Source organism: Homo sapiens, chromosome 6 (assembly GCF_000001405.40).
Source record: "Homo sapiens chromosome 6, GRCh38.p14 Primary Assembly".
In the NCBI taxonomy this organism is placed as follows: Eukaryota; Metazoa; Chordata; class Mammalia; order Primates; family Hominidae; genus Homo; species Homo sapiens.
In genome coordinates this window covers 3,829,712-3,855,364 of record NC_000006.12, presented here as the reverse complement: position 1 = coordinate 3,855,364, position 25,653 = coordinate 3,829,712, and the positions used below count along the sequence as shown (strand labels likewise).

At 44.2% G+C, this 25,653-nt stretch overlaps 1 protein-coding gene and 1 long non-coding RNA gene across 4 annotated transcripts, besides 2 other annotated features; one reads left to right on the top strand and one right to left on the bottom strand.

Annotated features, from left to right (window-relative positions):
- FAM50B (family with sequence similarity 50 member B) lies at positions 4,048–23,471 on the bottom strand. Of its 3 annotated transcripts, none has more exons than XM_017010729.2 (2): positions 23,354–23,471; positions 4,048–5,576 (listed from the first exon to the last, which is right to left on the bottom strand). In XM_017010729.2, exon 2 carries the CDS (start codon positions 5,551–5,553, stop codon positions 4,576–4,578), a length of 978 nt encoding a protein of 325 aa, XP_016866218.1. In that variant the 5' UTR covers positions 5,554–5,576; positions 23,354–23,471; the 3' UTR covers positions 4,048–4,575. The 3 variants fall into 3 exon arrangements, 2 of the variants coding, with proteins under 2 accessions (XP_016866218.1, NP_036267.1); NM_012135.3 differs by lacking the exon at positions 23,354–23,471 and adding an exon at positions 5,879–5,992; XR_001743335.2 differs by lacking the exon at positions 4,048–5,576 and adding an exon at positions 21,365–21,750.
- Positions 5,809–5,928: an enhancer, noted in NCBI's record as "active region_23893". NCBI's record gives its function as "activates an Ori minimal core promoter by ATAC-STARR-seq in GM12878 lymphoblastoid cells {active_cell/tissue: GM12878}" and the evidence as "EXISTENCE:reporter gene assay evidence [ECO:0000049][PMID:35858748]".
- On the top strand, positions 5,999–10,677 carry LOC107986557 (uncharacterized). The gene is made up of 3 exons (XR_001743931.2): positions 5,999–6,049; positions 6,716–6,976; positions 9,273–10,677. It is a non-coding gene; the product is annotated as an uncharacterized LOC107986557 (long non-coding RNA).
- Positions 6,199–6,318: a silencer, noted in NCBI's record as "silent region_16858". NCBI's record gives its function as "represses an Ori minimal core promoter by ATAC-STARR-seq in GM12878 lymphoblastoid cells {active_cell/tissue: GM12878}" and the evidence as "EXISTENCE:reporter gene assay evidence [ECO:0000049][PMID:35858748]".
- Positions 23,472–25,653: the final 2,182 nt, after the last annotated feature.

The window sequence follows — 25,653 nt, the reverse complement described above, 5'->3', positions numbered from 1 at the left end:
TAGTGAGCCCCCATCGCGCCACTGCACTCCAACCTGGGCGACAGAGTGAGACACTGTCTCAAAAAAAAAAAAAAAAGAGTTTTTGCAGAGTGTAACCTCCAGACTCCCACTCTCTCCTCCAGTTCCCCAAAGGTAACTGTCTTGGAGGTTGGTGGGTGGGGCTGAAAGTTCCAGTCCTCTAGTCACTGTTCTTCTGGTGAGCATCCCCATTCTGAAGCTAACTAGGGGCCCCACCCGAGGTCACCTCATTAGAGTAAACACAGATGTCATTGGAAGGGGTTTGTTATGAATATCAAAGATACTCCTATCACTCAGGAAAATTCCAAGGGGTTTAGGAGCTCTGTACCAGGAACCTGGGACAAAGACCAAATATAGTTATTTTTATACAACAAGTTCCCACTCCTAACATTGTGTGACCCCGTTTCAGTGACTTAGGCCCACTGAGATTCAATTTCTTCATCAGACAAATGGTGCCAACAATCTCAGGGGGTTGCGCTGATGACTGGTGAAATATGGCACGTCAAGTAATCTGGCACACCTGGGAGTCTGAGGCTGCACTTGACCCCTTCCCCCCCTGGGGTCCATCTGTGACAGAGGCTGCTGGCTTGTCCCAGGCACATTTGGTCACCCTGTCTCTTGCTGTGCATGCAAGGCAGGCCAGGTACCCACCATGGCTGCAATGATAGGGAATTCTTAGAAAAATTTCAGAAGGTTGTTGTGTGTTGGTTATTTCTCCTTGCTTTCAGCAGAGACCTGAGTGACATGCATGCAGGCATGAGCTAACCTGTCTGCCAGCAGTGCTGGGAGAGGCAGCCTTGCCCAGCAAGGGGTCCTCACCTACAGACTTCAGTCCAAGTCTGGAGCCCTGCATGACATAAAAAACCAAATGTTTCATTACGCCCAACTGAAGTTACCATTAGTGGCTTCAAAGCTACAGCCTCAGCAGGAGATAAGATTGATGCTGGGTGCCATATTGTTTTAAGGTATCCCTCATTAAATTTAGGGAGTGGGGTGGAGAGAGTTCAGAAGCCAGCAAGTAAAAACGAGAATTTCATACTTAACATCATGTCTAGAAAATAACTTTGGCTGGGATTAATTCATTGCACATGGAACTGACTAGAAATCCATCTAAGTTTTTGAGAGGATTGAATTATCAAAAAAACCCATTAGCCTAGACTGAAAAACCTATGAAAGCAATCTCTGGTTCCCAAATCTGCATCAGCAGGAAGCAGGCAGCAAAAGATCTGTAGCTCTGTCAAATGGGGCTTGGATGTGGTCATGGAGGACCAGGAGGGTAAAGCCAGAGGGTATGCGGGACAATGAACTGGGTAGTTCATCCCAGACAGTGGACCCAGGGCAACCAAGGGATGATACCTCCAAGGCAGACAGAGTCTTTGCAATACCTCCCAGTAGAATTTGATAGTGGCCAGAGAAGTGGCTCTTGTTGGTGCTTTGCATTCCCTTTTCCTAATGTTTGTATTTGTTTCACCATTGCATATCAGGTATGTGAGAGGACGGATTGCTTATTCTTTAGTTTATAAGTAGCTAGATGACAAAGATCCACATTCAGACTTGAAGGAGAGGCCTGTACATCACCCCAGATATAACTACTGGGCCCTTGTGGTGGTCTTCTTTGCTTTAGGACTGAATGTGCTATGTGTGAGGAAAGGATACACTTGGATATTTTTGTAGTGAAAGGGATAGACTACATCACAAACTGTATTTATCCCCTGATTTCTGCTCTCCATTTTTTCCCATAGTAATAGAACTTGGCTTCCCAGATAAGGACTATATCTCCCAGCTTCCCACGCAACCAGGTGTGGCCAGGAAACCAAGCTCCGGCAACCACTACAGTGTTTGTTGGCTTACAGGACTCTTCCTGGAGAGACAGCTGTTTTAAGTCTTTTGAACTTTCTTTCTCCCCTTACCTTCTGTTTTCCAGGATGTAGATGTGATGGTTAAAGATGCAGCTGCCATCTTGGATTATGAAGTAACCATGGATATGGAAGACACATATGATGAAACAAGGTAGAAGCAGCCTGGGTCCTTGATGTTACGGCCAACTTACCTCTAGACTTCTTTGAAGCAGAGAAATAGGCTTGCTTAAGCTACAGGTACTTTGTGTATTTTGTAATGTGCAGTTGAACCTAACTCTAAGTAACACCAAAACAATTAAGAAATAAGGCAGGATTAGATTGTAGTCAGCATACCAACTTTTTTTTTGAGACAAAGGCTTGCTCTGTAGCCCAGGCTGGAGTGCAGTGGCATGATCTTGGCTCACTGCAACCTCCGTCCCCCACGTTCAAGCGATTCTTCTGCCTCAGCCTCCTGAGTAGCTGGGATTACAGGTGCCCGCCACCGTGCCCAGCTAATTTTTTTGTATTTTTAGTAGAGACAGGGTTTCACCATATTGGTCAGGCTGATCTTGAACTCCTGACCTCAGGTGATCCACTTGCCTCAGCCTCCCAAAGTGCTGGGATTTTTACAGGCGTGAGCCACCGCGCCCGGCAGCATACTAACTTTTAAATGAAAACTAGATTGGAGAATATGGCTTAGACCAACCAAAGATGTGGGGTTCTACTATCAGCACCCTCAAGTTTAGGTCTTGATCTGCTATGTTGGAAGGGCAGACTAAATAGCAGACATCCAGCCAGCCAGTTTCCAGAAACCTTCGTGTTCCTGTGGCTCACCTGGGGATCTTACTGGAATACACATTGATTCAGTAGGTCTGGGGTGGGGCCTGAGATTCTGCTTTTCTATCTGCGTTTCTAACAAGCTCCCAAGTGCCGATGCTGCTGGTCCAAGGGTCTCACTTCAGGTAGGAAGAATCTGCTTCACACCCTAAGGAAGTGTTCAGAGCCAAGAGCCTGTCCTGGGCCCTGACCCTACTTGCACCGAAACTCAGGGGGAGGAGTTCATAAGAGGTGGAAAAGGCAGCCATAGAGCGTTTGTTCTCCAACCAAATAGCTGGGGAGCTTCAAAACACTGATGTCCACTTCTGACCCTGAGGTCTGGCTCTGGGTGTGACCTTTGAATTGGGAAGTTTAAAAGCTTCCCTGATGACCCTAAGGGACAGCCATTGGGACCCACTGTCCTAGAAGGCTAATGTTTCGGTGGAAGTTCTTGCTTATGCACTGAGGCAAGAACTCTAAGAAATGTCCCTCCTATACTCAGGGCTGGGACTGGGGTAACGTGAGTGAGGCACCCAACTTGGGCATTAAGGTTAAGGAGGAGGAGATCCCCAAATACTCAGTAACCAAATAATAAATAATATTTGAATTATATAAATAAATGTATAAATATATAAAAAATATATATAAAATATATATAAATATATATTAAACATATAAATGTATATATAAATATATATAAATAAATGTATAAATATATATAAATAAATATATATACACATATATATATTTTTTTGAGATGGAGTTTCACTCTTTCACCCAGCCTGGAGTGAAGTGGGGCAATCTCGGCTCACTGCAACTTCTGCCTCCCAGGTTCAAGCAATTCTCCTGCCTCAGCCTCCCAAGTAACTGGGATTACAGGCACATTTTTGTATTTTTAGTAGAGACAGGGTTTCACTATGTTGGCCAGGCTGGTCCCGAACTCTTGGCCTCAGGTGATCCACCCACCTCGGCCTCCCAAAGTGCTAGGATTACAAGCACGAGCCACCACACCCAGCCTGAATACAGTATTTTTAAAAATCAAAATTAACAGAAATAATCCACAATGAATAAAATACAAACATTTTCAATGAAGACAGGATCTGTAACTGTGCCCTGTGGAGTCATATTGGAGCAAAAGGAAAATCAATGATACTGACCCTGCAGGCTACTTGCATTAGCTCACTGTCCTCCTAACTTCTGGGCTAAACAACCCAGCTAAAGCCCACTAGAGGGGGGCTGCTCCCCAACCTTTGCTAGCCCCCTCCTGCTGGCAACTGCTGATCCTGGGACCAGTGATGGGCAGGTCCACCTTTGCCCTCAAATGGTTCTGAACTAGGTCATTGCAGTCCTTTAAATAAATTAACCAAAACCATAATAATAACAACAGAAACATTTATTAAGAGCTAAGCGTTTTACAAATATTAATTCACTTAATACTCACATCAATCTTATAAAGTAAGTGCTCTTGTTATTTCCTTTTACAGGTGACCAAACTGAGGCATGGGGGTTTAATAAGCTTACCCAAAACTACACAGCAAGGAGGAGGCTGTGTCGGGAATCAAACTCAGTCACTGTGGCCCCCAAGTCCATGCTCATAACCACCAGGTAAAAAATGTGCCTCCTATTCTAATTTCTGTCTGACAGTGGGCCCAGTCATGGTTTCAATACAGCTCAGCAGAGCAATGCAGCAAATCCAGGTGGCAACACTAAAATACTCAGAAAAGACCAACCAAGCAACCAAAGCATAACATCAGCAATAGCACAACCAATGTGAATCATGAGAACCCTCTGTCTTTATTAAATTTGGGGGAAGAAATCAAGGTCACGAAATCAAGTGACTGGTGATGGGGCCTAGAAATGAGTGTCTCCCCCCACCCCCGGTTTCCGCTCTGGCAGGCGGGTGTTAGCGGATGGTGTACTTGTCCCACTTCTTCTCGGGGTCATAGGCCTCCCAGCGGCTGGCGGGGAAGATGTGCTTGTTCTTCTCGTACCAGCTGCGCAGCACCACCTTGCCCGCGTGCGACTCGTCCTTCTCCATGGTGGCGTCGCTGAGCAGGCGCACGTCATCGTGCACATCGAAGCTGAAGAGCGGCCCGCTCTTGCCCCTCGCCCTGGCGATGATGAAGTCGTAGAAGGTGTGGTAGTGCGGCAGGATGAGGTCCTCCTTGATGAACATGAGCTGCTCCACGCCGGCGGAGCGCAGCTCCAGGAAGTCCTTGCGCAGCCCCTGCAGCGCCTTCTTCAGGAACTGCTGCACCGTGTTGCCCTTGCGCACCCGCACCGTGCGCCGGTGGCCCGAGCCGTCCCAGTAGCTGAAGGTGACCTCCATCTCCTCGTCCTTCACTTTCTCGCGCTGCGCCTCCCACTCTTGGCGCAGCTCCTCTCGGAGCCGGTTCTCCTCCTCCTCGCGGTCGCGGTCTGGCAGGAAGCTGGTGTCCACGTCGGGGTTCTTGCCCAGGTTTCCGGCGCGCCTGGCCTCGGCCGCGTCGGCCTGGTCATCGAGGTCGTCTAGTGCAAAGGACAGGCAGGAGATCTTACGCTTGCGCTCGCGCCGCTGCTCCTGCTCCCGCTGCCGCTCCTGCTGCAGCCGCTGCTCCTCCAGGTGCTGGCGCTTGGCCAGCTGCCGCTCGCGCTCCCTGACCAGGGCCTCCTGCCGGGCCTTCATGTCGTTCAGGGTCACCAGGCCCACCGTGCTGGACTTCAGCTCGGCCTCCACGGCGTCGTAATGCGCCGAGAACCTCTTGTCCACCTGCGACTTGAGGATGGTCTCCTCGGCGATGCGCTGCTTCAGCACCTCCATCTGCTCCCGCTGCCTTTCGCGCTTCTTGAGGAGGTGCATGGCACGGCCTGCCTCGCGCATGGTGCCCTTGTACTGCGCCATGGCCCGCGCCTACCCGATGGGCTCTGCAGCAAAGAGGAAAAACGCGGCAGGTAGAGGGGGGCCCACGCAACGGCGGGGAATGCTCAGCTCTGCGCCTCCTCACAGGGCTTTCGGCAGTGATGGAAGCGTTCAGGGGCTGGGCCGACCTGCTAGGGTAACCACCAACCTGACAGTGTCACCAGGCACCAATTTCCAGCATTTTATTTGACCTCAATAAATGCAAATGCGAACGGCCCCACGTAACGGGTGGCTGCCATGCCTGAGCGCAGCGCTGAATTTGGGGAGCTGCATACAGAGAGGGTTGGGCTACTGAGCGGACCCTTACCTGCCCAAGCACCCTGTCGAGCGGAGACACGCGGGAGCTGACCTCCACGAGAACCACCCACGAGCAGAGGCCCACTCGCCCCGGGCTCTCGCGACAGCCGTGGACACAGGAAGTGGAGGCGGTGCGCCCCCTGGCGGGGAGGCGGGCCCTGAGGAGAGTGCCAGGCTCCTGGTAGGGCGGCTGCGGAAACAGGAAGTGGAGGTGGATCGCCCCCTGGCGGGGAGGCGGGCCCTGGGAAGAGCTCCGGGCTCCTGGTAGGGGCGGTGCTCCTGTGGGGCGGGCCAGCGCGGGGAGGATCCTGGAGGAGGCGCTTCTGGCCCTGCCCAGCCGTGGCTGGCCGGGGCTCCTGTTTTCACGCTGTGGGCAGGGCGGGCCCCCACCTGCTGTGCGTGCGTGCTGAGCCTTCTCGTGCCCAACTGTAAACACGCAGAAGCAATGTGGGCGCAGCGCAAGCTGCTGTGGCCACCCAGAGAGCCTTGCAACACGGCCCTGCTCTCCAACCCTCCTCCTCCCGCCTCTGATGCTACCCCGCTGTGGCGTCTCGTGAACATTACCTGCGCACCACTGCCTGTAATTCTTTCTTATGGCCCCAACACAACCATTCTTTGATAATAGAACCCTACTCGCCCCCCAGTTTCGTGACAAAACCTGCACTCAGCTTGTTTGACCTCTTCTATACAGCAGTTTCCCCCGGGTTCTAAGCTCTAATAACCATGGGACACTGAGTTAAAGTGTAGCAGTGTCTTTACTGTGAGCCTCTAACATGCCAGTTTCCACTGTAACTCTCCAAGAGCAGGGCAGACCAGTTCATGTTTCGTGACCGTTTCTCCCCTGCAGGAGATCTGGTAACACTCGCCGAAACCAGTGCTTCCTGGGACCTAGTTTGGAAAAGCTGGTTGTGAAATACATACTGCGGTTCAGCCTCCTCCCGCCTAAGAGCAACAATGCCTGTGAGCATAACCTTACCAAGAAGCGTGAATCATATGATAATTACATATGGCACCCACATATCCAGAGGAGAACAGCACGGTGTGAGCCCTCATCAAATTGTCCAAGCCAGAAACCTAGGCCTTTTCCTGGAATGACGTTCCTCCACAGGTAATCAATTACAGAAGAGCCTTTCACACTTTCCTTTTTCTCCCATTCCCCACCACTTGCCTTAATCTAGGAAATTAGCATTTTTTTTAATCTAAAGCCTTCTCATTGTTGCCCCATCACCAGAATACAAGAATATCTTATTTTATTGAGCTCTGGGATACTGTGTGTTTTGTTTTTGTTTTTACAAATTGAAGATTTGTGGCAACACAGCGTCAAGCGCCTACTGGCTCCATTTTTCCAGCAGCATGTGCTCACTTCGTGTTCCTGTGTCACATTTTGGTAATTCTTGCAATATTTCAGACTTTTTCATTGTGATATCTGCTATGGTGATCTGTGATCATCGTTCTGTGAGGTTATTGTAATTGTTTGGGGGCACTCCGAAGTGTGCAGTAGAAGACAAAGACGTTTATTGATTTAACTGATAAATGTTATGTATGTTCTGACTGCTCCACTGACTGGCTGTTCCTTCATCTCTCTTCCTGTCCCTAGGCTTCCCTAGTGCCTGAGACACAGCAATATTGAAATTAGGCCAATTAATAACCCTACAATGGCCTCTAAGTGTTCAAGTGAAAAGAAGTGTCACACGTCTCTCACTTTAAATCAAAGGCTAGAAATGATTCAGCTCAGTGAGGAAAGTATGTCAAAAGCCAGGATAGGCCAAAAGCTAGGCCTCTTTTGCCAAACAGTTAGCTAAGTTGTGAATGCAAAGGAAAAAAATCTTGAATGAAACTGAAAGCGCTTTCCTGGTAAACATATGAATGATAAGAAAGCAAAACAGCCTTATTGCTTATATGGAGAAAGTTCTAGTGGTCTGGATAGAAGATCAAACCAGCCACGACATTCCCTTAAACCAAAGCCTAATCCAGGGCAAGGCCCTAAGTCTCTTCAATTCTGTGAAGCTGAGAGAGGTGAGGAAGCTTCAGAAGAAAAGTCTGAAGGTAGCAGAGGTTGGTTCATGAGGCTGAGGAAGGAAGTCACCTCTATAACATAAAGTGCAAGGTGAAGCAGCAAGTGTGATGGAGAAGCTGCAGCAGGTTATCCAGAAGATCTAGCTAAGAGCACTGATGACGGAGGCTACCCTAAACAATACATTTTCAATGTAGACAAAATAGCCTTCTATTGGAAGAAGATGCCATTTAGGACTTTTATATCTAGAGAGGAGAAGTCAATGCCTGGCTTCATGGCTTCAAAGGACAGGTTGACTCTCTTGCTAGGGGCTAGTGTAGCTGGAGACTTTCAGTTGAAGCCAATGCTCACTTACCATTCTGAAAATCTTAGTGCCCTTAAAAATTATGCTAAATCTACTGTGCCTGTGCTCTGTAAATGGAACAACAAAACCTGGAGGACAGCACATCTGTTTACAGCATGGTTTACTGAATATTTTTAAGCCCAGTGTTGAGACTTACTGCTCTGATTATTCCTTTCAAGATATTATTACTCATTAACAATGCACTTGGTCACCTAAGAGCTTGATGGAGATGCTCAAGGAGATTAAAGTTGATTTCATGCTTGCTAACACAACATCCATTCTGCAACCCATAGATCAAGGAGTAATTTTGACTTTTAAGTCTTATTATTTAAGAAATACATTTCCAAAGGTTATAGCTGCTGTATGTAATGATTTCTCTGATGGATCTGGGCAAAGTAAATTGAAATTTTTCTGGAAGGCATTCACCACTGTAGGTGCCATGAAGGACATTCACAGTTTTTGGGAGGAGGTAAAATATCAACATTAACAGAAGTTTGGAAGAAGTTGATTCAAACAGCATTACATGTTACAAAGAAATCTTTCGTGAAAGGTAGAATCAATCAATGTGACAAACTCAATATTGATTTAAGAAACTGCCACAGGCCCAGCCTTTGGCAACCACCACCCTGATCAGTCAGCAACCATCAACACTGAGGCAAGACCCTCCACCAGCAAATAGAGCACAGCTCACTGAATGCTCAGAGGATCATTAGCATTATTTAGCAATTAAGTATTTTTAATGAAATTATGCACATTATTTTCTTAGACAAAATGCTACTGCACACTTACTAGACTATAGTATAGTATAAACATAACTTTTATATGCACTAGAAAATTTAAAAATTTGTGTGACTGTCTTTGTGGTGGTCTGGAACTGAACCCACAGTATCTCCGAGGTATGCCTGTATTCTTGTTCTTGTCTAACTTCTATACAATATCCTCAGAGATCTTCATAAAAAATGAATCTGATAACATTACTCTCCTACTTGAAAAACTCCAACTTCCCTTGTAACAGCCACATCAGAATCTCTTTGTTTGTCCTCTAAGGTCTCTAATAGGTGGACCCCTGCAGCATTCACCCAGCTTTTTCACTGCGCCTGAATAGAAGATGCCCTTTCAGGCCAGGCGCAGTGGCTCACACCTGTAATCCCAGCACTTTGGGAGGCCGAGGCGGGTGGATCACGAGGTCAAGAGATCGAGACCATCCTGGCCAACATGGTGAAACCCCGTCTCTAATAAAAATAAAAATAAAAAAAATTAGCTGGGTGTGGTGGTGCATGCCTTGTAGTCCCAGCTGCTCGGGAGGCTGAGGCAGAAGAATTGCTTCAACCCAGGAGATGGAGGTTGCAGTGAGCCAAGATCGCACCACTGCACTCCAGCCTGGTGACCCAGAAAGACTTCATCTAAAAAAAAAGTTGCCCTTTCATAACTGTTACCTCTGGACGTACTCTTTCTAGAAAGTCCTGCCCTTCGCTGTGCTATCCCTGAAGATCAGCACAAATGTCATCTCCAAGAGGAAGCCTGGAGCACCCACCATCACCATCACCACCCACAGATGGACAAAATTACCAATAGTCTCCTCTCTCAGGTTTCCCATATAATTACCTTTATTACACTTAACATAAATAAGATAGCCTCTCCACCTCTTTTTTTCAGTTAAATGATCCAACCAACTAAACTTTAATTCAATCGACTATCGTTTGGCCACAAATACTATATTCACTCTTTCTCTAATCGAATCAGAACTTGAATGTCAATATCATCCCTAAACCTTATCATCCACCCTCCCATTATCCAGCATCCACCTCCTGAACTCAGTCACGGCCTCCAAATACTATAGCCAGCTCCCAGAATTAAAAGGTTGAGCCTCAAATTCTCAGAAAAGTTTAACAAGAAAAACAACTAGAAAGAAGGAGATTTATCCTAAAAGTCTGATATACTGTTCTGTAGAATTTTCCCCTAAGTTCCAAGATGATAACTTCCTCTTTCAGCCTTAATTCTCAGCGAAAATACCCACAAAACTAAAAGCTACTGCTTTAAGCTCTTAAATTTTATCAGCAAAATGAGGCTGAGGACCCGAGCCCACGCAAATGGTGAAACTTTAAGAAAGAAGAATAAATAGAACAAAAAAGAATGATTGTTCTAGTTATTCTTCCCTGATTGAGACATTATGGTTTGTTTTTCCAATAGGTTTTGTCATAAAGGAGGAAATAGGCATATTACAGAAAAGTTTGAAAAGAAATGTAAATAAATAAAAAGTTCACTCAACATGAACACATAAGTAACATAACTATTAATGTTTGCAAGTTCCCTTCCAATATTTTATGTGCACATAGATCTGTATATATTTAGCAATTTTAATCAAACTTTGCATCCCATTTGATGACTTTTTTTCCATTTAAGTTTTTTTTTCTGTTTTTGTTTTTGAGACGGAGTCTGGCTCTGTCTTCCAGGCTGGAGTAGTGCAATGGTGCGATCTCGGCCCACTGCAACCTCCGCCGGCTGGGTTCAAGTGATTCTCCTGCCTCAGCCTCCCGAGTAGTTGGGATTACAGGCGCCCACCACCACGCCCGGCTAATTTTTGTATTTTTAGTAGAGACGGGGTTTTGCCATGTTGGTCAGGCTGGTCTCAAACTCCTGACCTCAGGTGATCTGCCCTCCTCGGCCTCCCAAAGTGCTGGGATTACAGGCGTGAGCCACCTCGCCCGGTATTATTCTTGTTTTTATATAATCATCATAGTCATTGATTTAAATAAATGTGGTACATTCTATTGTTAAAAAATAAATAAATAAATAAAAGTATCAATAGCAATAATACAACAGAGGAGAGGGAGCAGCATTCTGTTCTAGTGACTCAGAAATGCCGATTAAATACACAAACTAATTTAGAAAAAAATGTGCCCTCCTCCAGGCTTAGTCACAAAGTAAAATATGCAAACAGCATCAGTGTTTTAAAAATCTCACAAAACTAAAACTTAAACTATTTTAACAAGAGAAAAAGAACTTAGTTTTCAATACAAGCAACAATAACAGACCCCCGCAAATAACACCTTTTGTCATGGTCGGTTTTCATGTTGCTTTCCACCAGTCTGAATTCTATTTTAAACGGATTATCCTACAAGTGGCAGATATACTGTCCTCTCCAGAGTCAGCCTTGAAATGAAACAGCTGATGGTGGGCCTGGCCTGGGTGTAGGGCGTGCCCCGATAGCATCTCCACTCAATGATCCCTCCAACACCACCACAGTATCCTGAACCAGTTGTCAAAGCAAAGCCACAACACCTCACATCAACCAGGTGCCAAAAAAGAACTAGTGTATGAATTCAGAATTCCGCCACCAGACCAGAAGTCCTTCAAAGGATATCTAGATAATATTATTGCACGCTTTCGAATAAAGGGTTTAAAAATGTCTTCCAACCTTTGCTTGGTGGAAAGCCAATATTTTGGCATGCAATCAGGTAGGGGTAAGGGGAAGAACCCTCACATGTTCAGAGACAAGGAAGTACAAAATATACTAGAAGGGAAAAGCTTGAACAAGAAACCTATGACTTCTATATGTGTTCCCTGGGGGAAAAAATCCACACCACGTGAGAGAGAAATGAAACCTAAGAGATGTCACAATTTCAAAATAAATGCTGCACCATAAATGTCTCTGAGCTGTAAGACCTCATTTTTTTCTTTCATTTGTATCAAAGTAATACATGTTTGATAAAACGGTTTAAAAGAATGGAACATGGTTTTATATTCTTGGTTTAAAAAGAAAAGTAATCCTGAAAGGGTTATTTTCACAAACAAAAAAGCAGTTTCCTGTCTATTTTTCTCTTCCCTGGAGGCAACCACCTCCAGTCCTTTCAGTTGCTTCTTCTGGTGTTTACCTCCTTATTTTCTAATAATTCTTACATTGCTATGTTGTGACTAATCAATTTTAAATTTTATCTACTGACTTTTTGGTTTGGTGGATGAAGATTTAATTTTTCATATGATAGATTGAAATGTCTGGCCAGGTCATTTGAAGAAGAGTGTATTATGGATGCTGTCAATTTCTAAGCCAGATAGGAAAAATGCAAGAAATTAAAGTACACGCCAATCCTAATTATAAATAGAATGGCAAAATGCCCAAACAAAATATTAACAAATGGAATTCAGCAGTTTATGAATACATACATGAAAATGGACAAAATAGGCTTTTCTCAAAGGTAGCTCAACACTAGAAATCTCTATGTGTGTAACTTACCACACTAATAACATCTCAATCCCTGCAGATAAAATATTAATTGCGAACTAGAGTCCTTCACTTGATGAAAAGTATTTTTTAGAAACGTACAGCAAATGTTATTTTCATAATATGCTTTTATGTCTTTTACAGTTTTCTCAAAAATAAAATTATGGGGTGTTTTCACCAGTATGGGGCTTACTACAGCTGGGTGAAGGTAGCGAGTGTCCCACAGGCACCTTTTAGGAGAAGGGCAGATAGGGAGAGAAGCTCTGATGCTCTTTCAAAGGGTGGAACATCTTTTGTTTTGAAGTGGCAAAGCATCACCTGAGGGATAGCTTTTAGAATTTTTACCAGGGAAAAGAGGGGCATGACAGAAGCCAGGGGCCAAGGGGAGTGGCTAGGAGCTCATGCCTACATAGAAAAGAGTATGAGAAAAAGTCAGAAGCCTGCCTAGAATAGCACATGTACTAAATGTATCAGGAATGTCCCCCTCCCACTGTCCTCTTAAAGGAACGTAGAAGATGAAAGTGTTGTTTTATGTAGAAACACGTAGAAAGCATTACAGTATGACACTGGCCAGTTTTTCCAGGACCCTTCTTTTTTTGGAAAGTGCTACGGATGTGGCTTCGCACACTACGTTTCACAGCTGCAGCCCATGGAGGCAATTTAAAAATGTGTGTTGAAGCCAGCTCTGGCTCTCTGGCAGTCCTCTCCTCTTGTTTTCAATACTGCCCTTAGCAAAGATGATTGGTATCTAAACACCTCTGTGCTCTTCTTCCTTCGTCAAACTGAAAGCAGGTGGTTCAGGTCCTGGGAAGGGAACAATGGTGGGATTGATGATTGCCTTGAAATTTTTATTTTCCTCCCAACTTGGAGTGATCCTGGGTGAAGCGCTCTTCTGCTGGGGCAGCAGCTGCTGCTCTGCTGGACCTTTGACTGGGCTCAGGGATGGCCACAGTGCACACTGCTCACAGCCAACACTGAGCACCTGGCAGAACATCACCAGTGTCACAGAGGCCAGCAGGCCAAGGGACAGCCGGGTTTGCAGCAGGCAAGGCTGTTCCTGGAGCTGCTTTCCAGGATGACTGCTGCAGGATTCCTGGATAATGAGACTCGTAGAGGGAGGCCACCCTGAGGCAACAACTTCTTGGCACTTGAAGCAGATGATGAACAATTGTCTAATAAGTTCAGGAATTGAAATTCTAAGATAGGAAAGTGCTTTAGAAAATGCCTGAACCTAGTGTTGACTTTGGGTAAGCAAGTGAAGGACCAAGCACTCTTGGGGAACCCTGAAGACAAAACAAATCAGAGAGGTGCTGGCTGTTATCTCATTTATGGTGTTAAAATGTTCATCAGTTATTTATGTTGTCTCTGACAACGTTATAACAATAAACAGAGATAGAATGTGCTGTTTGACTCTATGTACATTTGTTCCCTTCACTTTCAGCCCTTTTGTAGAGAACACCCCTCTATGGTCTCCCCTGTGACTGTGACTACCTGCCCAGGGAACCACCGCCCTGGAGCACCCTGGAACTTTTGATAAACCCACTGACACCCCCAGCTTCATGGAAAACCAGACCACTTAATAATTTTCCCAGAGCTATCGTGATCCTCCAGGGACCCACCAGCCCCAGGGGAATTGCATTATCATCTGTGGTTGCCAGTCTGTATTTTACTTGGCTCATCACTTTTAGGGTTTATTCTTTAAACAGCTTGTAAACATGGAAGATACTGCCCCAGTGACAGGAGAGTTGTGCAATGTATACACAGGACAATTCTTGTTGCGGCTCCTAACAGGTCGGACCTACGGCCCACCGTCTCCATCTTTTAACTATCTGCAGACTTGTATTTTTTGTTAGAAGCACCATTGATTGTGGTAAGAAATCCACAAAAGAAGAAACAACTTCGTGGTATATATTCTTGCCATTCATTGCTTTAATTTGGGGCCAAATAAATAAAAAGACATGAGCTGGTTGCTTAACATTTATCCCTAGTTACACTTTGAGCTAGGCTTTACCCTAAAGCTTTTTTTCATTTCTTATTAAATGTACATACAGCAGCACCATTTGCTGTTTTTGGTATATAGTTATGTAAGTATTGACAAATGCCTGGACACCTGTAATTTTTGGCAAGGTCTAAATCATGCTCATCTTTCACTTTGATTTCAAAGGTGCTGTTCAGGGCACACGTGGCAGAAAATCCGTTATTTATTCCAGTTGACCCGAGCTTCAAAAGCACCCACTGCACCCTGTGAGCTCATTTGCTGATGCTCCAGCGTTGGGCATTCTGCCTGCTGAGGTCCAAAGAACGTGTTCCGGCCTTTGAGTGGTGCTCGGCTCCGTTCGTTGGAGGCGGGGCAGGTGCAACACACCAGCTGGTTAGATCCTGGACTCTGTTACATGCCGTGACTCCACAGCCCTGGGTCTATGCTATGTTTTTTTTGTTTTTTTGAGAAGGAGATTTGCTCTTGTTGCCCAGGCTGGAGTGCAGTGGCGTGATCTCGGCTCACTGCAACCTCCGCCTCTCAGGTTCAAGCGATTTTCCTGCTTCAGTCTCCCGGGTAGCTGGGATTACAGGCACCCCCCACCATGCCCAGCTAATTTTTTGTATTTTTAATAAAGACGGGGTTTTGGCAGGACGTGGTGGCTCAGGCCAGTAATCCCAGCACTTTGGGAGGCCCAGGCGGGCGGATCACGAGGTCAGGAGATCGAGACCATCCTGGCTAACACGGTGAAACCCCGTCTCTACTAAAAAATACAAAAAATTAGTTGGGCATGGTGGTGTGCGCCTGTAGTCCCAACTACTCAGGAGGCTGAGGCAGGGGAATGGCGTGAACCCGGGAGGCTGAGGTTACAGTGAGCCGAGATCGCGCCACTGCACTCCAGCCTGGGCGACAGAGTGAGACTCCGTCTCAAAAAACAACAAACAAACAAACAACAACAACAACAACAACAAAGACAGGGTTTCATCATGTCGACCAGGCTGGTCTCAAACTCCTGATCCACCCGCCTCGGCCTCCCAAAGTGCAGGGATTACAGGCTTGAGCCACCGCTCCCGGCCCTATGTTTTGTTGTGTTGCCGTTTATTCAGAAGAAACTCTTGGCCTATGACTTCCTGGCTAGCACGTCCCAGTGTCTTGGTTGATATTAATAGTTTAACCTGGGGTATGGGAGGGAGGGAGGATGATTTATTGATGACTGCTGTTGCTCTCCTATGGGAGTATATGTGAGGTATTGCTGAAGTCTTGCCATGAAATACTTCTTCACAGAATATTTTAACAAAATTGAAATATAGCAAAAATAGCAATGTTTTTGGTATACAGTTCTATGAGTTTTGACACACACAAAATCAAGTGATCCCCACTATAAGCAGGAACAGAATGGTTCTGCCATCCCAGAAAACTTGTATTATCCCTTTGAGTCACACTCTTTCCCCATCGCTGCCCCTGGCAACCACTGATCTACTTTCCACACCGCTGTAGTTTGGATATTTGACCCTCCAAACCTCATGTTGACAATGGATCCCAATGTGGGAGGAAGAACCTAGTGGGAGATGTTTGGGCTGTGGGGGTGGATCCCTCACGAATAGATGAATGTTCTTCCTGGGGGAGGAGATGAGTGAGCTCTTGACCTGTTAGCTTCTGAGAAAGTTGGTTGTTAAAAAGAGGCTGGCAGCTCCCCCTCTCTCCTTTTGCGTCCCCCCTCACCATGTGACCTCTGCACATACCAGCTTCCTTTTGCCTTCTGCTTGAGTGGAAGCAGCCTGAGGCTTCCGCAGAAGCAGATGCTCATGCCATGCTTATTATACAGCTTGTAGAACTGTGAACCAAATAGACCCCTTTTCTTTATAAATCACCCGATCTCAGGTATTTATAGCAACACAAACTGACTCTGATGCATACCTATATTTTTTGCCTTTTCCAAAATGTCACATCATGGAATCATACAATATGTACATTTTAAGTCAGAGTTATTTCACTCCAGTATAATGCATTTGATTGTCATCCATGCTGTTGCATATGTCAGTAGTTCATTCCTTCATTCTTTTTTTTCTTGTGTGTGTGTTTTTTTTTTTTTTTTTTTTGAGATGGAGTCTTGCTCTGTCACCCAGGCTGGAGTGCAGTAGTATGATCTCAGCTCACTGCAACCTCTGTCTCCCAGGTTCAAGCAATTCTTGTGCCTCAACCTCCCAAGTAGCTGGGATTACAGGTGCCCAACACCATGCCTGCTAATTTTTTGTATTTTAGTAGAGACAGGGTTTCACCATATTGACCAGGATGGTCTTGATCTCCTGACCTCATGTTCTGCCTGCCTCGGCCTCCCAAAGTGCTCGGATTACAGGTGTGAGCCACTGTGCCTGGCCCATTTTTGTATTTTTAATACAGACAGAGTTTCACCATGTTGTCCAGCTGGTCTGAAACTCCTGACCTCAGGTGATCTGCCTGCCTTGGCTTCCCAAAGTGCTGGGATTACAGGAGTGAGCCACCATGCCAGGCCAGTTCATGCCGTTTTGTTGCTGAGTAGCGCCCGATTGTATGGAAACACCACAGTTTATTCCTTAACTTCTTGATGGACATTCTTTCCAGTTTTTCTTTTTTTTTAGTTTTCTTAAAAAAGATGGGGTCTTGCTCTGTTGCCCAGGCTGGAGTGCAGTGGTGCAATCATAGCTCACTGCAACCTCAAACTCCTGGCCTGAAGTAATCCTCCTGCCTTGGCCTCCCAAAGTGCTGTTATTATAGGCATGCACTACCAGGCCCAGTCCCAGCTTGTTTTCATTTCTATACCTATAAATAGGATTGCTAGGTTATATGGTAAGTCTTTGTTTAACTTAATAAAATCTACTAAACTGTTTTCTACAGGGACTGTATCAGTTGTCATTCTCAGAAATATATGAGAGTTCCAGTTCCTCTGCATTCTTGTCAGCACTTAGTGCTATGGTTTTAAAGTCCTCTAAAAGTTCACGTGTTGGAAACTTGGTCCCCAGTGTGGCAATGTTGAGAGGTGGAACCTTTGAGAAGTGATTGGGTCATGAGGGCTCTGCTGTCATGAATGGATTATTTCATGGATTAATGGGCTAATGGATTAATGGGTTATCATGGGAGTTGGTTAGTTATCACAAGGGAGGGTCTGTTATAAAAGCCAGTTCAGCTCTCTCTTGTGGCCCCCTCTCTCTCTGTGATGTCTTCTGCCATCTTGTGATGCAGCAAGAAGGCCCTCACCAGATGCCAGTGCCATGCTCTTAAGACTTCCCATCCTCCAGAACTGTAAGAAATAAATTTCTGTTCTTTATAAATTACCCAGTCTCTGGTATTTTATTATAGCAACATAAAATGGGCTAAGATGCTGGATATTATGCATTTTTTTTATATTTTGGTCATTCTACTTAATAGGTACGTAGTGGCATCTCACTGTGGTTTTAATTTGCATTTACCAAGTGGCAAATGATGTTGAGCATTTTTTCATGTACTTACTTGCTATCAGACATCTTCTTTAGTAAAATGTCTGTTCAGATCTTTTGTTCATTTTTTAATTGGGTTGTTTGTTTTCTTACTATTGAGTTTTGAGAGTTTGTATTGTATTCTGAGTACAAGTCTTTCATCAGGCATGTGATTTGCAATAATTTCTACCAATCTAACTTCTCTTTTTCTTCTCTTGTCTTTTGCAGAGTAAAATTTTTAATTTTGATGAACTTCAATTTATCGGTTGCTCATTTATGGATCATGCTTTTGATATCTTATGTAGGAATTGTTTGCCTAAACCAAGGCCACAAACATTTTCTCTGATGATTTCTTCCAAAAGTTTTATAGTTTACATTTTCCATTTAGATCTGTGGTCCAGTTTGAGTTAATTTTTATATAGGATGTGAGGTTTAGTATCCTTTTCCTTCCATCTAAATGTTGGACTTCCTCTAACATTCTTTAAGTGACTAGTCTGTCACCCAGATTTTCCAAAAGCCTGCACGAAGCCTGTATCTTCTCTTGATAATGCGAATCTATGGTGGAGGCAGAGGATTATTACCCTTCAGAGTGCTGAAGTTGATCTCAGGGACTGTAGCCTGCCTCCCTCTGTCCTTGGCTTCAATACATAGTGTCCTTCAGTAGACTCAGGCTCCTTGGCACATTCTGGGCCACATGTGCAATATAACTGGCTGTCAATGGTGTCAGTGATCATGACACCAATGGCATTGTGCTTGGGGCTTCCCCAAATGCTTCCTCAAAACATGTACAGATGGCCATTCTGATACAAAGAAAGCCCATTTTCAGACACACTGTTCCTAAGATGTAATAGTTCGAGAGTCTACTAACACACAGCCATGTTTTCTTTGTAACCAAAATTAACTTGCTAGATCTTGACTGAGCCAGTGGGATTATCTATAATTGTTCTAGGTATTAAGATTGGGTCTTGGTGTCTGCTAGATGGTGCATACTGTTTTCCCTGGAAGAACTTATTGTGAGTGATGCTAAGGATACTGAGATTCCAGGGGCAGATGAAATGTAAAAGGTGAAAGCTTCCTGCATTTTATCCTTGAGATCGTCCATGCAACCACTATACACAGCTACCATATTCACAGGGTTTGCCTACAAGAGTTGATTGCAATTGAATATTGCTAGAGGGTCTTCAGTAAACTGAGTGTTTTGCAATGATATAGTAATTCTCTATACAAGAATTGCCAAGACCAAAGGCCAGGGGTCTAGGGGACAGGACTAGACTGACTGAATAAGGATGTAAGGCTTAAAACTATTGCTGGGTCATATGGCCTCTTTGCTACTGCTGTGTTGTTTTATTTTTTTCTGCTGCAGGGTCTGGCATGATGTACATGCTCAGAAATGTTTGATGAATGAATGAATAGATGAACGAACAAATATCACATTGATAATATGACACTGTGATACTACTGACACTGACAACACTAGGCATTACAGTAAAAGCATTCAGTGCTACATTTTCACTTTCAATTCTCTATTTTGAGTGAAGGTGTCAAAATTGACTCTTAACAAATCCCTGAAGCTCTGGAATCCTGCAGCTGGAAATGCGGCACCCAAAGACATGGCATGCAGAGTGGAAATAGTCCCGCGTGAGGTTGGGAGTCCACAGTGTCGGGAGAATTGGGTTCTCATGTTGGCATTACTGCAAATTTGTTATAGGCTTAGAGGAAGTTACGTAAGTTTTCTAAGCTTCATTTTTTATCTGGAAAAATTACTTGCTGAGAATTTCTGATCCTTTTGAGTTGTGCAAGGCTAGGATTCAACCAAGAGAACTTTCTCATAACTCATCTAAGTTGATCACAAGACGTGAAACAAGGGAGCCCAAAGCTTGTTTGCGTTGTTCCTCCTGTGGCTTCTTCTCTAGAGACTCCAAACTCCAGTTTCTTGTGGCGGGGGTGGAAGTGGAGAGATGCCAACTCAGCAAAGGCCCTAACTCATGGATCACATCAGACTTTAGCTGTTCATAATGGGGCTGGCTGATGTGTTGTCAAATTAGTCCAAAGTCAAGTCCAAAGGGCAGAGGAGGGATGAGATCAGTTACAAGAAACCCTGGGTTGGGCAATAGTGGGGAAGGAGGCTGTCACTGGGCCTTACAGGCAGAACCTGGCAAAACAGCAATGGCAACTGCACAGGCTTTGAGGAGCCAACTCTAGGACAGTGAACGCTAGAAATGCAACCCCTTATGCTCCCCTGGAGCTCCCTGTGAAATTTCTCCATTTCTAGTGTCCTGGTTGGGGAAAATATTTTCTTCTCTCATGCTCCTCCTCCTCCTTCCTTCCACCCTGCCCTAACACAACAGGACTGTCACCTGCTGGACACTTCACTGACATGCAGAAACCCAGGGCAAGAGGAACGCATTCTACCATCAAGGGGGCCACAGATTACCCAACCTGTATTTCTCTCTGATATCTGTTCACTTATTTTAAAATAAAAATATTTTTGTACTGCTTGAATTTTGTGAAAGCTTTACATAAAACAGCCTCTATGCAGTTCTACACCTGAAAGATAACCATTATTAACTGTTGGCATTTACCTTCAGACTTTTAATGCATATGTTAATTTTAATATAAATGGGATCATTCTGTATGTTGTTTAATATCCTCAAACAATATAGCATACTTCTTTCCATGGTAACACTAAAAGGCCTACCTGATCTTTTTTAATGGTTCCGATATATATTTCAATGTAAGACTATATCAAAATATATTTTACCAGTTTTTTATTGTTAAACATTTGTTTTTATTTTTTAACTCTATAATGATCATTCTTATATATGCATCTCTGTGAGATAATTCTTATAGTGCCTAGAACTTAATGTATATAATTATTAGTAACCTTTTTAAACCTGATAGCCCTTGACTTTGATTTTAACTTTAGCATCTTTTAATATGTTCTTCAAATTGTATGATCAAATCTTTTACCAATTGTTTTCTTATTGATTTATAAGAACTCTTTGTATATTGAGGCTATCAACTGATCTTTCATATAAGCTCCAAAAATTTCCCTCAGTTCGTTACTTACATTTTAACTCTGTGGGTTCTTTTTTCTTTTCTTTTCTTCCTTTTTTTTTTTTTTTTTTGCCATATATCAGTTTTTGTATTTTATTTTTGTATTTTAATTTTTATGTAGCCAAAGCTGACAGTCTTTGCTTTTATGACTTGTGAATTTTATACATATATGAATTTCATACATATTTGAATATAAGAATATATCATATTCTCACTCAGTGTCACACACGTTCACTCAGTTTTATAGGTTTTAAAATGCCTGTTTCTTTTTACATATGTAGTTATTCTTGTTGAGATCTAGTTCTGAACATACTGTCAGTCGGTACCAATTTTTTCCAAAAAAGGGTACTAAATTAAAATAAAAGCTTAGAAATTTTTCTCAACCTGCCCCATGGGTCATAGCTATTCTTGCTAATTCACTGTGGAAAAATAATTTTAAAAATGTTTTTATTCATTTGCAAATTACAAAGCTTGCTTGTATTGTATATTCTATCAGTTGAGAGTCTTTCTGTCCCTGATAAGAGAAAGCCTGACTTTCACTGGTTTAAATAAAATATTTAATAACTCATTTATCTGAAAAGATCAGAGGCCACATGGGCTTTGGATGTGACTTGACTCAACAGTTCAGTCATCTCGCCATCCCTCTTTCTGCTTCATCGTTAGGCTGGCACTCCTTAGGGCCACATGATGATTTCCAGCAATTTCCAGGGGCTACATGCTGTCTTACTTGATTGCTCTCTCATAAGGGTGATCAGATCTGCCAATAAATTTCTTCTTGCTTTTTAAAATCCTCGTAGCCAGGGAAATGAATAGTCCCTTTAGATTAAAAATATTTTATTTAGGGCCTACCCTAAAGCTGGGGGTAGAGGGGAGAATGGTGGTAAAACACAGGATGCACTGGGGAAAGGTGATAGCCATCCAAACAAAAACTGGGATCACATAACCAAGAGGAAGGGAAAATGGAAGCTGAGTGCTGAAATGAGCAAATGCTCACCACACACACACGGTCCTGGTTGATACAAGAACACTGTGAAGATCAGTAGCTGCTAACACATTTATCTTACAGACGAGGATACTGAACACTCCAAGAGGTGTATGTCTTGCCCTTGGTCACTCATCTAGTTGGTAGCGAGGCTCAAATCTAGATCTTATGATTCTAAATTCTCAGCTCTTACCAGTATCCTAAATTACCACCCCACAGGCTTGAAACTACTGCTGAGTATATGGGACTGACTCAGTTCTACAAACCTGTTTTTAAAAATTAAAACGGTTGCCAGGTGCAGTGGTTCATGCCTGTAATCCCAGCACTTTGAGAGGCTGAGGTGGGTGAATCACCTGTGGTCAGGAGTTCAAGACCAGCCTTGCCAACATGGTGAAACCTCGTCTCTACTAAAAATACAAAATTAGCCGAGTGTGGTGGCACATGCCTGTAGTCCCAGCTACTTGGGGGCTGAGACGGGAGAATCGCTTGAACCTGGGAGGTGGAGGCTGCAGTGAGCCAAGATCGTGTACCACTGTACTCCAACCTGGGTGAGACAGAGCGAGACTCTGTCTCAGATTAAAAAAAAAAAATTAAAAAGGTCAAAGGAGATACTAGCTATTCAACATAAGGGTGAGCCATGAAGATTTGATGCTCTTACTGTGGGCAGAACAGCATGTGAGGTTCCACTATGGTGGCACCAAAGAATTAGAGGATCCTATTCTCTCTTAGCCTGGGTTCACCCAAAGAAGTGTGTCTCCGGAGTGTATCTCAGAACTGTGGGGTGGGGAAAACAGGGGAAGCATTGATTCAAGAGCTCCCATCTCCAGTGGAAGATGGTTCCTTCACAGGATGTTGTTACCCCACATTTTTAAGGGGTGTATGAGTGAGTGCCCGGTGGGTTGCCTGGGACACCCCAGCCAGCCACTGCATCTGAGAAGCCAGGGACAGGCAGTGAGAAGAGGCATTCTCAGCGTGCTGCTGCGTGAAGCTGGTTGGATGGAACTGTTCACTGTAGCAGTGGCTGGAAGGAGCAGGGAGGAGAACATTTTAAGTGGGACATGAGAGGTCTTCCTTACATGAATCCATTATAAGCTAACAATACAAAACTCAAGTTAAGGAAGTGATACACACACAAGCCCAAATTCCTCTTTACTTAGTTCATGTCTGATCACTCTTACTTGGAATATTACAACCACCTTCTAAAAAGGTCTTCCTAGTTTCTCTTCATTCAACTACTGCAGTAGTCTTTCAAAAAGAAAAATTTTAAAGTTGTTATTATTTTACTGAAAGGTTCATTACTCCCCACTGCTTCCAGGAATATGTATGAATTCCTTTGCTTGACATTCAACACGCTTCTCAATTGGCTTTACTTTAATTAAACAGCTGTACTTCCCGCAACTGCCCCCAGCTGGACTCAAGCCAGTCTAATTTCCTTACCGTTCGATAAACAGGCCAAGATTATTCCTTCTCAGTGCCTTTGCTAATATTGTTCACTCTAATGGGCAGGGATGATATGCAAAACAGTTACCAACTGCCATGGCAGGCACTAACCAATGAGGGTGGAGACTGAGCCAATCAGAACTGATATCAGGTGTAACTGCCAATATGGGTTGACCAGTTGACTCAGTCCTGCCCCCAGCCTCCATTCACTCTATTGAAATTCCATTTCTTTCAACTTCCATGAAGTTTTCCTGGACTGCTGTTGCCCATGTTGGTTTTTTTTTTCTTTTTTTTTTTGAGACTAATTACTACTTTAAATTCTTGTATCCAGAATCTTATTAAAGATGTTCATGTGATTATACAAGAGCCTGAAACACCACTTTTTGGGCAGCACACTCCTCCTCACCTCTCCATATGGTAACACCTTTGTGATATTTCCTACAGAGAGTAGAAAGATAGAAGTCAGTCTTTCCTACAGCATGGTTGATGAAAAACAGTTTTTATTGTTAATGTTTCAGAAAAGTTTCAGCCTTGAAGATTCATGACTAAAACAATGCATGACTGGTAGTGACATAAATTTTAGAATTTTTGTCAAATACGAGGAAAACCTTTACTAAGTTTCTTTCATGTGTAACTATAAAATTTCAGGGAATTTCAAATATCCTTGAAATGCTCTTTGAATTGCCATTAGATATATTCCTGGAAGCCATCCCAACACCATGATGGCTGGCAATATTTTAACCTGTGTGATAGTTAACACATGGCCCCCCAAATGCTTTGATACTCCCCCCATTGAGAGGTGGGTCTACCTCTCCCTTCTCTTGAATCCAGGTGGGATTGTGACTTGGTTGTAACCAACAGAATGCAAGATCACAAAGGTGAGGTGGCTATGGCTTTGGTCCCTGGAATACTCATCTTTGGTGTCCTGACTCATCATGTAAGAAGTCTAACTTCTCTGCAGCCCCCAAGCTTTGAGGAAGCCTGGGCTATGTTTAGGGGATGCAGCTGACAGCCCTAGCTACAATCGCCACTGGCAGCCAGCGTCAACCACCAGACATGAGTGTGGATGCCTCCATTTGATTCCAGCCCCTGTCAGTAGGGTCACTCCCACCATGGAGTCTTCCCAGCTCCCCAGAAGTTGCTGAGCACGGACAAGCTGTGGCCTGTCCAAATTTCTGTCCCGCAAAATCCATGAACATAATAAAATGATTGCTTCATGCCACTAAGTTTTGGAGCAATACTTACACGGCAGTAGTGACAAAAACAACTATGGGCAAAAGTCACTATGACCCAGGTGCACTTCTAATATTTCTGATGCCCTGGGCTTGAGTACAAACGGCCCACATACACCGCACGCCTAAATGTGTAAAGGCTTTAAATAGCATAAAGAACACTAACGAACGGTTAAGTAAATGTGTTCTCTCCTCCTTCTATGAAAACTATGCCCTTATAATGAGCTTAAAGGCCACGTTTGGATTTAGAATTCCCATGGAAGCCTGGCCTCTCACCTCCTTTACCCACCTAAGGCTTCATCCTGCACTTTGCATCTTGCCAGGCCTCACACATATGCAGACCCGAGTTACATCCATATTCCCTGTAGACAGTTGCCTCTTGGCCACCTCTTGGAGCACCAACAAACTCACTAGAAGTGAAGTTTGTTGTCCTTAGAAAGGTAGATACAGATGAGGGCCCCAAGCAAACTCTGATGCAAACTTCAGGTGTGGGGCAGGAAATTCCAGGATCCCAGATGTGGCGTGGAATCTGGGTCTTGGGCTCTGGGAGCGTCCAATCATTTGGCCCCTAAAACTTCTCACCTTATGCCAGACAATGGCCCGAGGGGAGCGGCCTTGCTGCAGCCGAAGGCACTACTTGTGCTAACCACAAAAATACACCCGTCTCAACTCAAACCCAGTGTTTCCTCAACTCAACTTTCCCTTTGTAGTTTTGCCACACTAGACAAGGCGAAGCCAGAATGGCATGGCACAGCAATCCTAATCAAGGAAAACAGGACAAAACACAAGGCCCCAGGGAAGGAAGGAGCCAAGGAGCTATGGCTTCATTAGCTTCCTGGAGATCCACCTCTACCTACATTTCCTGGTTCATTCTTTCCCTCTTGATAGACACGGTGGGGAAAACAAGATGCTCATCAGATATGTCCTGAGGGTTCCAGGAGAGAGATTCAATGAGTGCAGAGGTCAAAGCTCATGGCTGTCCGGCTGCAGGGACCTGCAAATGTGCTTTTATTTGGCCTGTGCCGTGTTTAATTTTTTTTTTTTTTCTGAATAAGTGGCTAAAAT